The following is a 16,779-nucleotide window of genomic DNA, read 5'->3' as shown; positions in this document are numbered from 1 at the left end:
CTCTGGCCCAAGGCTCTCTGACTGACTCCTTCCCAGATCTTCTTGGCTCAGTGGCTGAAGACTGACACTGCCCACTTGCCTCAGAAGCCTTCTGGACCATCACAGATGCTTTCGGTAACTCTTACAGTGGAGGGTAAGTCCTTCCTCTTCTTAATCAATATGGAGACAACCCACTGCACATTACCTGCTTTTAAAGGGCCTGTTTCCTTTGCCTCCATAACTGTTGTGCGTATTGACAGCCAGGCTTCTAAACCTCTCAAAACTCCCCAACTCTGGTGCCAACTTGGACAATATTCTTTTATGCACTCCTTTTTAGTTATCTCCACCTGCCCAGCTCCCTTATTAGGCCAAGACATTTTAACTAGATTATCTGCTTCCCTGACTAGGCTACAGCCACACCTCATTGCCACCCTTTTCCCCAGTTCAAAGCCTCCTTCAAATCCTCCCCTTGTATCTCCCTACCTTAATCCACAGGTATGGGACACCTCTACTCCCTCCCTGGCAACTGGTCACATACCCATTACTATCCCATTAAAACCTAATAACCCTTATCCCACTCAATGCCAATACCCCATCCCACAGCAAACTTTAAAAGGATTAAAGTTTGTTATCACTTGCCTGTTACAGCATGCCCTTTTAAAGCCTATAAACCCTCTTTACAATTCCCCCATTTTACCTGTCCAGAAACTGGACAAGTCTTACAGGTTACGTCAGGATCTGTGCCTTATCAACCAAATTGTTTTGCGTATCCACCCTGTGGTGTGAAACCTCATATACTCTCCTATCCTCAATACCTCCCTCCACAACCCATTATTCTGTTCTAGGTAAACCTAGCTGACCCCATAGATCCTAAATCCTTTCTCCACTCCCCTATCCATTCCTTAAAAAACAGCTCCCACACTAGCTCTCCCTAACTTATCACTCCCTTTCCACTACACACAGCTGAAGTGCAGGGCTGTGCAGTTGGAGTTCTTACACAAGAGCTGGGACCACGCCCTTTAGCCTTTCTGTCCAAACAACTTGACGTTACTGTTTTAGCCTAGCCCTCATGTCTGCATGTGGCAGGTACCACTGCTTTAATACTTTTAGAGGTCCTCAAAATCACAAACTATGCTCAACTCACTCTCTGCAGTTGTCATAACTTCCAAAATCTATTTTCTTCCTCACATCTGATGCATATACTTTCTTCCCCCCTCCACTACCTCTCAGCAAGCCGAACTCATTGCCTTAACTTGAGCCCTCACTCTTGCAAAAGGAGTACACATCAATATTTATACTGACTCTAAATATGCCGTCCATATCCTGAACCACCATGCTGTTATATGGGCAAAAAGAGGTTTCTTCACTACACAAGGGTCCTCCATCATTAATGCCTCTTTAACAAATAGTCTTCTCAAGGCCGCTATACTTCCAAAGGAAGCTGGAGTCATTCACTGCAAGGGCCATCAAAAGGCATCAGATCCCATCACTCAGGGCAACACTTATGCTGATAAGATAGCTAAAGAAGCAGCTAGCATTCCAATTTCTCTCCCTAACTGCCAGTTTTTCTCCTTCTCATCGGTCACTCCCACCTACTCCCCCACTGAAACTTCCACCTATCAATCTCTTCCCACACAAGGAAAATGGTCCTTAGACCAAGGAAAATATCCCCTTTCAGCCTCACAGGCCCATTCTATTCTTTTGTCATTTCATAGCCTCTTCCATGTAGGTTGCAAACCGCTAGCCCATCTCTTAGAACCTCTCATTTCCTTTCCATCATGGAAATCTATCCTCAAGGAAATCACTTCTTAGTGTTCCATCTGCTATTCTGCTACTCCTCAGGGATTGTTCAGGCCCCCTCCCTTCCCTACACATCAAGCTCAGGGATTTGCCCCTGCCCAGGACTGGCAAATTAATTTTACTCACATGCCCCAAGTCAGGAAACTAAAATACCTTTTGGTCTGGGTAGACACTTTCACTGGATGGGTAGAGGCCTTTCCCACAGGGTCTGAGAAGGCCACCGTGTTCATTTCTTCCCTTCTGTCAGACATAATTCCATGATTTGGCCTTCCCACCTCTATACAGTCCAATAACAGACAGGCCTTTGCTAGTCAAATCACCCAAGCAGTTTCTCAGGCTCTTGGTATTCAGTGGAAACTTCATACCCCTTACCATCCTCAATCTTCAGGAAAAGCAAAACAGACTAATGGTCTTTTAAAGACACACCTCACCAAGCTCAGCCTCCAACTTAAGGACTGGGCAGTACTTTTACAACTTACCCTTCTCAGAATTCGGGCCTGTTCTTGGAATGCTACAGGGTACAGCCCATTTGAGCTCCTGTATGGATGCTCATTTTTATTAGGCCCCAGTCTCATTCCAGACACCAGCCCAACTTGGATTGTGCCCCAAAAACTTGTCATCCCTACTATCTTCTGTCTAGTCATTCTTCTATTCACCATTCCCAACTACTCATAAATGCCCTGCTCTTGTTTACACTGCCGGTTTACACTGTTTCTCCAAGCCATCACAGCTGATATCTCCTGGTGCTATCCCCAAACCACCACTCTTAACTCCCTCTTAAAGTAAATAATCTTTGCTGGCAGGGCACCCTCCAATACTTTCACCCTGATGAAGTCCTATTCTTTACCTTAAACTCACTCTTATTCTCGTTTCTGTTCTTATGCCACCCTCTACCTCTCCCCAGCTATCTCTACCACACTATCAATCTCACTCACTCTCTCCTAGCCATTTCTAATCCTTCTTCAACAAACAATTGCTGACTTTGCATTTCTCTTTCCTCCAAAATCGCCAAGGCCCCGACTTACTGCTAAAAAGGGGGGACTCTGTATATTTTTTAATGAAGTGTTGTTTTTATCTAAATCAATCTGGCCTAGTATACGACAACATAAAAACTCAAGGATAGAGCCTAAAAACTTGCCAACCAAGCAAGTAATTATGCTGAACCCCCTTGGGCACTCTCTAATTGGATGTCCTGGGTCTTCCCATTCTTAGTCCTTTAATACCTGTTATTCTTCTCTTATTTGGGCCTTGTGTCTTCTGTTTAGTTTCTCAATTCATCCAAAACCATATCCAGGCCATCACCAATCATTCTATACACAAATGCTCCTTCTAACAACCCCACAATATCACCCCTTAACACAAAATCTTCCTTCAGCTTAATCTCTCCCACTCTAGGTTCCCATGCCACCCCTAATCCTGCTCACAGCAGCCCTGAGAAACATCGCCCATTATCTCTCCATACCACCTCCCCAAAATTTTTGCTGCTCCAACACTTCAACACTATTTTATGTTATTTTTCTTATTAATATAAGAAGATAGGAATGTCAGGCCTCTGAGCCCAAGCTAAGCCATCATGTCACCTGTGACCTGCATGTATACATCCAGATGGCCTGAAGCAAGTGAAGAATCACAAAAGAAGTGAAAATGGCCGGTTTCTGCCTTAACTGATGACATTACCTTGTGAAATTCCTTCTCCTGGCTCAGAAGCTCCCCCACTGAGCACCTTGCGACCCCCGCCCCTGCCCACCAGAGAACAACCCCCTTTGAATGTAATTTTCCACTACCTACCCAAATCCTATAAAACGGCCCCACCCCTATCTCCCTTTGCTGACTCTCTTTTTGGACTCAGCCTGCCTGCACCCAGGTGATTAAAAAGCTTTATTGCTCACACAAAGCCTGTTTGGTGGTCTCTTCACTCAGACCCATGTGACACAAACCATGTTAAGAACCTAAGAGACTAACAGCATCCTTGATCCCATCTCCATGAGGAAATGGGTTGGGGCTGCAGAATGAGGCAATCCCCACATTCAGTTTTGCCAGACACTACTCCTCCACAACTGAAAGTGGACAACTGAAAGGCATCTAGAGTGTGTGTCTATCAGAGATCTCATTTTGGAGGTAGCGGGGGTATGATCAAGATAATCTCCTCTTTTCCCTAGGGGCTTCCTCAGTCTCTAGTCTCAGGCCACACAGACCATGAGGAGTGACAAATGGATCTGCATGGGAAACACCAGGGAGGGAGAAAGAAACAGTATATGCTCCCCTGCTGCCCTACCCTCTCCACCCACCTCAAAGATTCTGAAACAATTGAGTTGGTGAGTGCGAATAGTTTGCAGCAAGTTTTATTATTAGCCCTGAGAACAAAGGCTTCCCTTTCTCCCCTGCTGCCTTAGGTCTCTCCAGAATCTGCCTGGCTCCACCTTCTCCAGTTGGCTACCAGGGAGGACCAGGCTTCTCTGCCAGCCTCCCCAGCCACAAACTGTCCTTAAGTGAAGGGGCAATGGGGCGATGGGAGGAAGGAGTCCACACTCCAAGGGAACTGGCTGGTTGCTGCTTAACAACTGTTCATTGTTTCTAGGCCACTCTGCAGTTCCCTCCTCTCTCCCATGTGAGTGACAGAAGCTGGGTGGATGGCAGAGCTGCTGCATTGTTTAGGAATAATGGATTAGACACATGGCAATTCAGTGGTTTCTTAAGCAGAGCGCAGCACTGCAGTCTCGATAAGGTTGTAGGCTTGTTTACAAGCTGTAAGGCAAATTGTTACACTGTGAACTTAGCAAAGCAGGGGCTAATATTTCCATTCTCAATGGGTAAACTGAGGCTGGAAATTACAGACTACCACAATTCAAAAGGACTAGCCCAGTTGTCTGTTAGTAAAGAAACAAAAAAGGGCCAGAGAGAGCAAAGGAATGTGATCAAGATCGCAGGCGGGCATCCAGGGCTAGAGCTCTGGACCTATGGCCATGAGCAGAAGTGCTTTTTTTTTACTGTTACATGCATTCTCCATGTTGTCCAAGCCTTTCTCCCAATTCCTCACTGTCCCCTTTCAGTGCTGACTTTTCTCAGCCATGACTTTCTCCCACCTCCCATTTCTATCCTGCATTATCTGAAAGCCGTGTAGAAGGAAGAGAGGCCAATGTGGGAGATAGGCTCCCTCAGGAAACAGGCTAGAGCTCATAAGTGCTGCCCAAAAAAACAAAAAGTGACAAGCGTATGTATGCAAATTGGACTTCCTAAGTGAATTCTAAGGGGAGGCCAGGGAAAGCCAAGGTCATTACAGGGAGCTAATTCCAAGGAAAGTGACATGGGTGGAGAAGCCTTTAGGAGATCACTTTCCTGAGCTACAGAGAGGCCTCTGAGGCTACTGGGTGGAATACGGCAGTGGGGACGGCTTGGATGGGAAGTGAGGGAGAGGAAGCATTCATCTGGCTTGGAGAAGATACAGACTGTTAAATTTTAAAAGTAGGAGGCTGTTAGCCTGAGGCTGTGAATGTACTTTGAGTTGCTTTCTAACAAACTGCAACCTAATTTAAGAGCACAGGACTACCTCATCCGGATTCTCAGATATTGCATATTCAGTTCTAGACCACTGCAATAAAGCAAATATCGCAGTAAAGTGAGTCATATGAATTTTTAGTTTCCCAGTGCATATAAACGTTATGTTTACACTATACTGCCATCTATTAAGTGTGTGATCACATTATGTCAAAAAAAAGTACACATCTTAATATTCAAATATTCTATTAATTATTTAAAAAATGCCAATGATCATCTGAAGCTTCAGCAGGCTGTAACCTTGTTGCTGGTAGAGGGTCTTGCTTCCATGTTGATAGCTGATGACTGATCAGGGTGGTGGTTGCTAACAATTGGTGTGGCTGTAGCAATTTCTTAAAATAAAACAATAAAGTTTGTGCGATGATTGACTCTTTCGTGAAAGATTTCTCTGTAGCTTTCAATGCTGTTTGATAGCATTTTACCCACAACAGAACTTCTTTCAAAATTTGAGTTAATCCTCTCAATCCCCACTGCCACTTTATCAATTGAGATTATGTAATAGTCTAAATCTTTTGTTGTTATTTCAACAATGTTTACAACGTCTTCACCAGGAGTACATTGCATCTCAGGAAACCAATTTCTTTGCTAATCCATATGAAATAACTGCTTTTTTTTTTTTTTTTTTTTTTTTGAGATGGGGTTTTACTCTTGTTACCCAGGCTGGAGTGCAATGGTGCGATCTGGGCTCACTGCAGCCTCCACCTCCTGGGTTCAAGCGATTCTCCTGCCTAAGCCTCCCCAGTAGCTGGGATTACAGGCACGCTCCACCACGGCTGGCTAATTTTTGTATTTCTAGCAGAGACAGGGTTTCACCATGTTGGCCAACCTGGTCTCAAACTCCTGACCTCAGGTGACACACCTGCCTCAGCCTCCTAAAGTGCTGGTATTATAGGCATGAGCCACCACTCCCTGCCTCATTTGTTAGTTTTATCAAAGCAGCAATTCCATGACATCTTCAGGCTTCACTTCTAATTCTAGTTCTCTCGCTATTTCCACCACATCTACAGTTATTTCCTCTACTGAAGTCTTGAACCCTTCAAAGTCATCCTTGAGTGTTGGAATCAACACCTTCCAAATTCCTGTTAATGTTGATATTTTGACTTCACCCGTGAATCACAAATGTTCTTAATGGCATCTAGAATGGCAAATTCTTTCCCGAAGGTTTTTTATTTACTTTGCCCAGATCCATCCATTTTGTAAAGCCTTACAAAATGTATTTCTTAAACATACAACTTAAAAGTTGAAGTTACTCCTTAATGAGCTGCAGAACAAATGTTTTGTTAGTAGATATGAAAAAGATTAATTGTCTTGTACATCTCCATCAGAGCTCTTGAGTGGCCAGGTGCATTGTCAATGAACAGTAATATTTTGAAAAATAATATTTTTTTTCTGAGCAGTAGATTTCAACAGTGGGCTTAACATATTCAGTAAACCATGCTATAAAAAGATGTGCTGTCATCCATCCAGGCTTTTTTCCATCTATACAGCATAAGCAGAATAGTTTTAGTATAATTCTCAAGGACGCTAGGATTTTTGGAATGGTCAATGAAGGTTGTCTTCAACTTAAACCTCCAACTGCGTTAGACCCTAACAAGAATCAGGCTGTCCTTTGAAGCTTTGAAGCCAGGTATTGATGTCTCCTCTCTAGTTATGAGAGTCCTAGATGGGATCTTCTTCCAATAGAAGGTTGTTTTACTTACACTGAAAATTCATTGTTTACTGTAGCCACCTCCATCAATTACCCTAGCTAGATTTTCTGGATAATTTGCGGGAGCTTTTACATCAGCACTTTGCTGCTTCACCTTGCACTTCTATGCAATAGAGATAATGTATTTCCTTAAACCTCATGAACCAACTTCTGCTAGTTTCAAACTTTTTTCCTGCAGTTTCCTCACCTCTCTCAGCCTTCATAGAACTAAGAGTTTTATGAAGTTCATAGAAGAGAGTTAGAATCTTTGTCTGGATTAGGCTTTGGCTTAAGGGAATGTTGTGTCTTCTGTGATCTATCCAGATCACTAAAACTTTCTTCATATCAGCAACAAGGCTGTTTCAGTTTCTTATCACTTGTGTGTTCACTAGAGTAGCAACTTTAATTTCTTTTAAGAATTTTCCCTCTGCATTCACCACTTGGCTGTTTGGTGCAAGAGGCCTGGCTGTTGGATGATCTCAGCTTTTGATATGGCTTCTTCACTAAGCGTAATCATTTTTAGCTTTTGATTTGAAGTGAGGGATATGCGACTCTTCCTTTGGCTTAAACACTTAGAAGCCATTGCAGGGTTGTTAATTGGCCTAATTTCAATATTGTTGTGTTTCAGGAAATAGGAAGGCCGGAGGAAAGGGAGAAAGATGAGGTGAGGTGACAGCCAATCAATGGAAAAGTCAGAAGACACACACAACCTTTATCAATTAACTTTGCCATCATATTTGGGCAGTTTGTGGTGTCCCAAAACAAGTACAATAGTAACATTAAGGATCACTGATCACAGATCACCATAGCACGAAAAAGTTTGAACTATTACAAGAATATCAACAATGTGACACAGAGACGTGAAGGAGCACATGTTATTGGGAAAATGGTGCTAATAGACTTGCTCCATGCAAGGTTGCCACAAACCTTCAATTTGTAATAAGTTCAATATCTGCAAAGTACAATAAAATAAAACACAACAAAATGAGTATGTCTGGAACTTTTTTTGTAACAAAAGCCAATTATAAATAATTAAACTTCGATCAATCACAGGCAGCCAACTCATCACATCATGCCCAAAAAAGGCAAATGTTTCATCACACCATGTCCAAATAAGGCAGATTCCTAGTTATCAGATGATATCTCTACTCAGCTTCTGTGTGTAGCCTGTAAAAGCTCACGGCTCACACTGCTTGGCTGAGCTTTCTGAACTTTGTCTGGTTCTGTGTTGTATTGGTCAAGGTTTTCTAGAGGGACATTACTAATAGGATATATGAATATATGAAAGGAGTTGAGTAGGGAGAACTGGCTCACATGATCTCAAGGCAAAGTCCCACAATAGGCCACCTGTAAACTGAGGAAGAAAGGAGCCAATAGTCCAAAAGGCTCAAAAGCAGGGAAGCCGACAGTGCAGCCTTCAGTCTATCGCCAAAGGCCCGAGAGCCCCCGGCAAACCACTGGTGTAAGTCCAAGTGTTCAGAGGCCAAAGAACCTGGAGGCTGATGTCCAAAGGCAGGAGGAAAGGGAGGAAACATCTGGCATGGGAGGAGGATGAAAGCCAGAAGACTCAGCAAGCCAGCTTATCCCACTTTTTTTCCACCTTCTTTGTTCTAGCTGAGTTAGCAACCAACTGAAAGGTGCCCACACACATTGAGGGTGGGCTTTCCTCTCCCAGTCTATGAACTCAAATGTCAGTCTCCTCTGGAAACAGCCTCACAGACACACCCAGAAACAATACTTTACCCCCTATCTAGGCATCCTTCAATCCAACCAAGTTGACACCTAATATTAACCATCACATTAGTGCTGACTGATTCATGAATCATTCCTTGCTCAAATAAATTCTTTTAAATCTAATTTGTCTAAATTTTTAACAAGGTCTCCAGAGTTGCTAAAATCTAGGGATTGGGTGTTTATTTCAAGTTAGCTCTTCAAGTTAGCCAGATTCTCAGGTATTTGGCTCTAGTTAGATTCAGAGACAGCTCAAGAGCACCCTGAGAGTTTCCTCATTTGTTAAAATGGGGATAATAATATAAAGCTTGCTTTCCTCTCAAGTTATTGTTGTGAAGATCAGACAAAAGAATAAGAGAGTGCTTTCTAAACCAAGTCAAATGTATACCAGGGAATTATATTTTTTTTACAAGTCGCAGTTTAAGGCACAGTTACTCCCTTTTCATATTCCACCACTCCCTAAACTTACCAGTTATTGTATCAACATTTTAAGAAAAAAATACATTGTTCTGCATTTTAACCTGTTGACTTTCAACAGGGTGAGTCAGGATGCAGTGATCTGCGTAAGGGTGCCTTCTGATCTTCGCACATGCAGGAGGAGTAGAGAAATGTACACAGGACTGAAGGTAAAGAAACCTTGATTCTTGTCTCATCATGGCTCCAACCTGCTGCCTGACCCTGGACAAGTCTCTCTCCATCTTTCAGCCTCAGTGTTCTCATCCACTTCCAATTCCACCTGCACCAGCCCACATCTTCTATTTACCCCTTTCCTGCCATAATTTTTCTCCATAGAACTTATCCTATTTCACATTTTATGTTTACTTATTTAATGTGTTCATTGTCTCTTTCTCCTTAGTAGAATGTAAGCTCATGAGGGAAGGTATTTTTGTCCTTTTTGTCCACTATTATCCTCAAGGGCTAGAATAGTGCTTTATGCCTGAGTTGCTCTGTGACTAAATACATGAACGAATGAAGACTAAGGATATTAAACTAGATTACCTCAGATTTACCAATATTAATTGTTTGAATCTTTGATTTAGTCATGAGGTATTTTTCCATGTGGTTTCTTTCTACCTTGCATTATCCTCCCCCAAATGAATTATAAGAAATACTTTTACATTCAATGAGCTTAAAAACAACCAGAATGATTCAAGTTAGATCTAAAGGCTTTCTTATACACTGAAATGAATTCTATGTTAGTTCCTACAACAGAAATAGATCTCAAGTTATCCATTTGAATACAATGTGTTTCTCAATGTATATCACTACTAGAATGCAGGCACTGGGCCCTTCTATTCATAGGTATGCCCAAAGAAACAAGGTAAGCAATTTGAAAGTAGAGCCTTAGAAGCTACCCGATGGAACAGTATGAGGGAAGCCTGGGCCCATTTCCTGTCCTTGAGGAGTCTAGTTCTTCAGAAGGAAGTGAACCTGCCCAGTTGCAAAGAGACGGTTGAGATTTTTTTTTTTCTAAGTTTATTTGTTACTAAAAATGCCTTAAAAATGCATTGGGCTGTGCCATAGATTTGAGTTTCTTCCCTCTGAAACTCATGTTGGAATTGTATCCCCAGTGTGGTAGTGTTGGGAGGTGGGGCCTAGTTGGAGGTTTTGGGGTTATAAGGGAAGATCCCTCCTGAATAGATTAATGTTCTCTTGTGGGGGCAAGTTCTTGTTCTCTCTTGTTCTCATAGGAATAGATTAGTTCGTAGGAGAGTGGTTTGTTAAAAAGAGCCTGACTTCCTTGGTTTCTCTCTCTTGCTTCCTGTCTCACCATGTGATATGTTTGCATGACCTGCCTTTCTACTTTCCACCATGACTGCAAGCAGCCTGAGGCCCTCACCAGATACAGCTGCCCAATCTCAAACTTTCTAGCCATCAGAATTGTGAGGTAAAAGACCTCTGTTCTTTATAAATTACTCAGCCTCACGTATTCTATTATAGCAACACAAAAAAGACTAAGACTATTTCAGTTTGTCCAGTGGGTGTCAGGATGACTCAGCTGAAGAAAGAGCAGACTGAGTAGGAACTGAGTCATTGCTTACATGTCTAAGCCACGTTGTTACCTGCAAAGAACAGAGAACGGATGTTCTTCCTGCCAAAGAATTGGAGGAGAGAAAGAGCTAAGATTTCAGTATAACAAAGTTAAGAAAGGACCCAAGAGGGAACTAACTGTCAGTAATAATAAGGAAGCACATGACGATTACTGAGCAAGTGCTAAAAACTTCTGCTTTGGAAATCCTTGCAAACAAAAATTTTCCATAAAATTGAAAGGGCTGTGAGTTCAGAAAAACCTTTAAGAATTCATGGCAATTAAGAAATGTGGGCCGGGCGTGGTGGCTCATTCCTGTAATCCCAGCATTTCGGGAGGCTGAGACGGATGGATGACCTGAGGTCAGGAGTTTGAGACCAGCCTGGCCAACATGGTGAAACCACGTCTCTACTAAAAATACAAAAAATTAGCCAGGTGTGGTGGCGGGTGCCTGTAATCCCAGCTACTCAGGAGGCTGAGGCAGGAGAATTGCTTGAACCCGGGAGGTGGAGGTTGCAGTGAGCTGAGATTGTGCCATTGCACTCCAGCCTGGGCAACAAGAGCAAAATTCTGTCTCAAAAAAAAATGTGATTAAAAATCAACTATGCTTGTAGAAAGGTAGAATTATTGGGAGTGGAAAGGGATGATTAATTCCTGATGATCAATTTTTGAGGTCCTACCCAAGAGTCTATTATACTTTCTTCTTAGAAGAAAAATGGTTGAAACCTCTTCATCCTCAATGTGTCTGTACCCCTGTGAAAGGGAAATAAAATCTCAGGACTCCAACTCACTATACCAAAGGGAAAAATAAAGCTTTGAAACTGAGTCATGTAAAATGCTGACTTTACTTTTGTTCCTAAACAGATAGTTATGAGACAGGAGGACATATATCTACTCAAGGGGCCTCCCTCACCGTGACAATGTAAATTAACAGCTTATCTTTACAGGTATGGAACAAAAGGAAACTAAAAATTGTCCCCCTGTCCACCCTGAGATGAATGCATATTTGACTTCTCCTCTTTGTTTACTTTAACTTAAGCAAAGTACAGATTTATGAAGTGCAAGACAAATATATAATTGGCTATTCCTCTATCTTTTCCTTTTCACATGTAACAGGTAGATTCAGTGATAGCTAACCCAAGCCTCACAAGAATGTGACCATATTCTCCCTTTTTTTTCCTTCCTCCTTTCCCCACCCACCCACTTTTTCCACTTTAAATATTGAAGCCCTCAAAATCCTCTTTGGAAAAATTGTGGGCCACAGATCCTACCGTGGCTTGTGTCTCTTCTTCCTAGGGACAACCTCAACCTTGACAAAATGAACCTTTAAATTAATAGAGACACTGTTTTAGGTTTACAAATTGGCAACCATGATGAAATTCTGAGTGGAGGTGGCCCTTGACCTGTGGCAAAACTCCTAACGGTGCCTGATACTAACTTGGGCTATTTTTATTGCTCAAACCAATAGGACAACTTGCTGAGGTCTGGGAGCTTCATCCTCTCCAGTGAAGCCTTGATCTCCCAAAATTGGAGTGAGATCTAAGGTTTATTTTGCTATTACAATTCCATTCTGGAGTTCTGCTTGCTTCTGGAAAGGAAGGTGACTTTTCCTGCTTTTACAATGGTAGAGAGCAGTCTTTAGCCTGAGCCTCATTCCTGGATAACAGCTAAGTTGAGATTTTGTCTTAAAAATTCTCTTTAATGACTAAGTTAGTGCCAGAGGTATTCAAACCAGGTGACTCCATCTTGAATAGGGGATGGGTAAAATTAGGCTTAGACCTGCTGGGCTACATTCTTAGTCACAGGATGAGAAAGAAGGCTGGCACAAGATAAAGGTCACAAAGACCTCACTGATAAAACAGGATGTGGTAAAGAAGCCAGCCAAAACCCAACAAATCCAAGATAGCAATGAAAGTGACCTCTAGTCATTCTCATTGCTCATTATACACTAATTATAATGTATTAGCATGCTAAAAGATACTCCTAACAGCATCATGACAGTTTACAAATGCCACAGCAATGCCAGGAAGTTGCCCTGTATGGCCTAAAACGGGGCAGAACCATCAGTTCCAGGAATTGCCTTCCCCTTTACTGGAAAACATATAGATAATCCACCCCTTGCTTAGCATATAATCAAGAAATAACAATAAAAATAGCCAAACAACAGCCATTAGGGCTGCTCTGTCTATGGAGTAACCACCCTTTTATTTTTTTACTTTCTTGATAAACTTGCTTTCACTCTACTCTGTGGACTCTGTGGACTCACCCCTAATTTTTCTTTCATGAGATCTGAGAACCCTCTTTCCACTAACATAAAGATTGACAACCAGCTATTCTTAACTTCTCCTTACAATTAGAGTACTCAGTAATCATATAAATTGTATGAACGCTTCCATAGTTAAGTCATAACCTTATTAATGCTTATTGGCTTCACTGGGGAGATTACCCTTTGTAAAGATGCTCAAAAGCCAGAAATATCAGCTATTTGCCTCAGCTAAAATCTGGTAATAATGAGACAGCCAGGTGGGAAGGGCTCCCTGGCAAAACTCCAGCTGGTCTGCACACTGGGAGGAGTGCACTCTGGGGTGGAGCCACAGAAGTTCGTGCCATTTGCAGTGGGGAGGAGCCTGGCCTCTCCTCTTCCTGGGTGGAACCTGGGATTCAATCTGCAAGGCAGAAAGCACACTCTCTCACTTCACCAAGAGTCTCTGTTTTTCCATTTTCCCCCCCTTTTCACCCAATAAAATCTTTACTTGTCAGGCCTCTGAGATTTTGTGCTGCTCCAACGCTTCACTATTTCATTTTATTTTTCTTATTAATACAAGAAGACGGGAATGTCAGGCCTCTGAGCCCAAGCTAAGCCATCATGTCCCCTGTGACCTGCACGTATACACCCAGATGGCCTGAAGCAACTAAAGATCCACAAAAGAAGTGAAAATAGCCCTCATCTTTACCCGCCTGAGGAACTTCTTTACTTTCTAGACAGATATGGTGAGAACTCCCTAGACATTTCACACCAACAAGCTGCCACACTTCTCCGCATCTACTTACGGCACCTTTCTCCTTATGTCAATTGCACCCCCCCCCCCCAAATTTGGACCCCTAACCACACAAACAACTATCCTATCCCTGTTGCCGCTCCTTTATGCATCTCCCGACAACAGCCTACTGGAATCCTTTTAGGCAACCTTCCACTGTCCACATGTTCCTTTACTCTTTATCTCCAGAACCCAGCCACACACATTATCAAACAGATGGTAGCATTCCAACTTTGCATTACTGATAAGACCTCTATCATTACTGACAAACTAAAAAACATTGGCAATCACTATTGTTTAGGAAGACACCTACCCTGCATCTCACTCCATCATTGGCTACCCTCCCCCTGCTCATCTGAATCTCCTCCTAGCCCCTCCTCTTGCTTGCTTATACCCAGCCCCATGAATAGCAGTGAAAGGTTACTTGTAAACACTATGTGCTTTTTCATACACCATGAAAACTGAACCCCGCCCTCTACACAGTTGCACCATCAATCCCCATTACAACCTCTAACAGCTGCTACCCTCGCTGGATCTCTAGGATTTTGGGTGCAGGATTCCTCTTTCAGTACACCCTCTCACCTTTTCACTTTAAATTTCCAGTTCTGCCTGGCAAAAGGTCTCTTCTTTTTATGTGGCTCTTCCACCTACATGTGCCTACCTGCCAACTGGACGGGCACATGTATTCCAGTCTTCCTTACCCCCAAAATCCAGTTTGCAGGTGGGAACAAACAACTGTCTGTCCCCCTCATGACATCAACATGACAAAAAAGAGTCATCCCACTAATCCTTTTACTTGTGGGTCTAGGACTTTCTGCCTCCACTATTGCACTTGGAACTGGAATAGCAGGCATCTCAACCACTGCCACGACATTCTGCAGCCTCTCTAATGACTTCTCTGCTAACATTACAGATATATCACAAACTTTATCTGTTCTCCAAGCCCAGGTTGACTCTTTAGCTGCAGTTGTCCTACAGAACTGCCAAGGCCTTGATTTACTCACTGCTGAAAAAGGAGGACTTTGTATATTTTTAAATGAAGAGTGTTGTTTTTACTTAAATCAATCAGGCCTGGTATATGACAACATAAAAAAACTCAAGCATAGAGCCCAAAAACTCACCAACCAAGCAAACAATAATGTTGAACCCCCTTGGACACTCTCTAATTGGATGTTCTGGGTACTCCCAATTATTAGTCCTTTAATACCTATTTTTTTCCTTCTTTTACTCAGACCTTGTGTCTTTCGTTTAGTTTCTCAGTTCATACAAAACTGCATCCAGCCCATCACCAGTAATTCTATATGACAAATGCTCCTTCTAACAACCCCACAATATAATCCCTTACCCCAAAATCTTTCTTCAGTTGAATCTCTCCCACTGTAAGTTCCCATGCTGCCCCTAATCCCGCTCGAAGCAGCCCTGAGAAACATTGCCTATTTCTCTCCAAACAACCCCCAAAACTTTTTGCTGCCCCAATACTTTACCACTATTTTGTTTTATTTTTCTTATTAATGGCCTGAAGCAACTGAAGATCCACAAAAGAAGTGAAAATAGCCTTAACTGATGACATTCCACAATTGTGATTTGTTTCTGCCCCACCCTAATTGATCAATGTACTTTGTAATCTCTCCCACCCTTAAGAAGGTTCTTTGTAATTCTCCCCACCCTTGAGAATGTAGTTTGTGAGATCCACCCCCTGTCTGCAAAACATTGCTCCTAACTCCACTGCCTATCCCAAAACTTGTAAGTGTAGCAGGATGAGCAGCAGACAAAACTCCTCAGACACCAGGTTAAAGAAGGAAGTGGTTTATTTGGCCAGGAGCATCAGCAAGACTCCTGTCTCAAGAGCTGAGCTCCCCAAGTGAGCAATTCCTGTCCCTTTTAAGGGCTCACAACTCTAAGGGGGTGTGTGTGAGAGGATCATGATTGATTGAGCAAGCAAGGAGTACGTGACTGGGAGCTGCACGCACCAGTAATCAGAATGAAAGAGAACAGGACAGGGATTTTTACAATGCCTTTCCATACAATGTCTGGAATCTATAGATAACATAACCGGTTAGGTCAGGGATCGATCTTTAATTACCAGACTTAGGTCAGGCAGGCCCAGGCCTGGTTTTGGGTCTGGTTCCTTGGTTTCAGGTCTGGTTCCTAGGAGCTGGGCTACCTGCCTTTAATTTCGCTTCTCATTCTTTTTCTTAGTATAAAACAATATGAGAGGGCCTGTCTCTCTTCTCTCATTTCCCCCCTTTGAGACTCTCACTTTTTATTAGTGGGAGTTCTCACTCTTATTTTCACTACTTATATCTTCCTGTGCAATAGATTGATAATGATTCATATAGTACACTTCCTTCTTAGATGAGTAGCCAGTCATCTTCAGTCTGTACCCCTCTTGAATGTATCCTGAAATCCTGGGACTCCCTTAAAAAGCACCTTTTTTCCTTGCTCCTCCATTGTCACTCTTCACTGATAATTCTGTCTCCATACTATGGGATACTCCCCTCAGATGCATCCTCCAAACTGGAAAGAGTTGATTTCCCAAACCCTAAACTGGTTGGCTTAGGATTGGGCTCAGGGGAAGGGAACCAAAAAGCCTGACATGCCCACATAAGGGTAAAGTTTTTACCAGTTGGGCTTTTGGCCTCCCTCTCCTCTTGCCATCTTGGATGCCAGCATGAGAGGACCCAAAATAATTTTCAACAGCCTGTGATTCCTTTGGGAGAAACAGAAAAGTCACTACAAACTCCATTTTAGGAGGAAGCTCTGTTTTCCTCATGGAACCCTCAGAGTTGCAAGAAGAGAGATTCTTAAATCTAAAACTTCTCTTTATTGTCATAAGTCATGCCTCCATTCAAAGTGCTTTTCCTGGCTTCTTAACTAAAATGTACTTACACCATTTCTTTTTTTATTTCCTTGGTTTGAGCGTAAAATGATCTTTTAGGCCCAACTTCTTAGCTCTGTAC

At 42.6% G+C, this 16,779-nt stretch overlaps 1 pseudogene, besides 1 other annotated feature; it reads left to right on the top strand.

Annotated features, from left to right (window-relative positions):
- The window catches only part of LOC105369778 (small integral membrane protein 10-like protein 1), a 30,020-nt pseudogene continuing 13,241 nt past the window's right edge, over positions 1-16,779 (top strand).
- Positions 10,059-11,258: an enhancer, noted in NCBI's record as "MED14-independent group 3 enhancer chr12:55328775-55329974 (GRCh37/hg19 assembly coordinates)". NCBI's record gives its function as "activates an origin of replication core promoter dependent on BRD2, BRD4, P300/CBP and CDK7 cofactors, and independent of MED14, by STARR-seq in HCT116 cells {active_cell/tissue: HCT116}" and the evidence as "EXISTENCE:reporter gene assay evidence [ECO:0000049][PMID:35650434]".

Source organism: Homo sapiens, chromosome 12, assembly GCF_000001405.40.
Source record: "Homo sapiens chromosome 12, GRCh38.p14 Primary Assembly".
Lineage (NCBI taxonomy): Eukaryota > Metazoa > Chordata > Mammalia > Primates > Hominidae > Homo > Homo sapiens.
The sequence above is the reverse complement of the archived record's forward strand: the minus strand, read 5'-3'. Positions and strand labels throughout refer to the sequence as shown.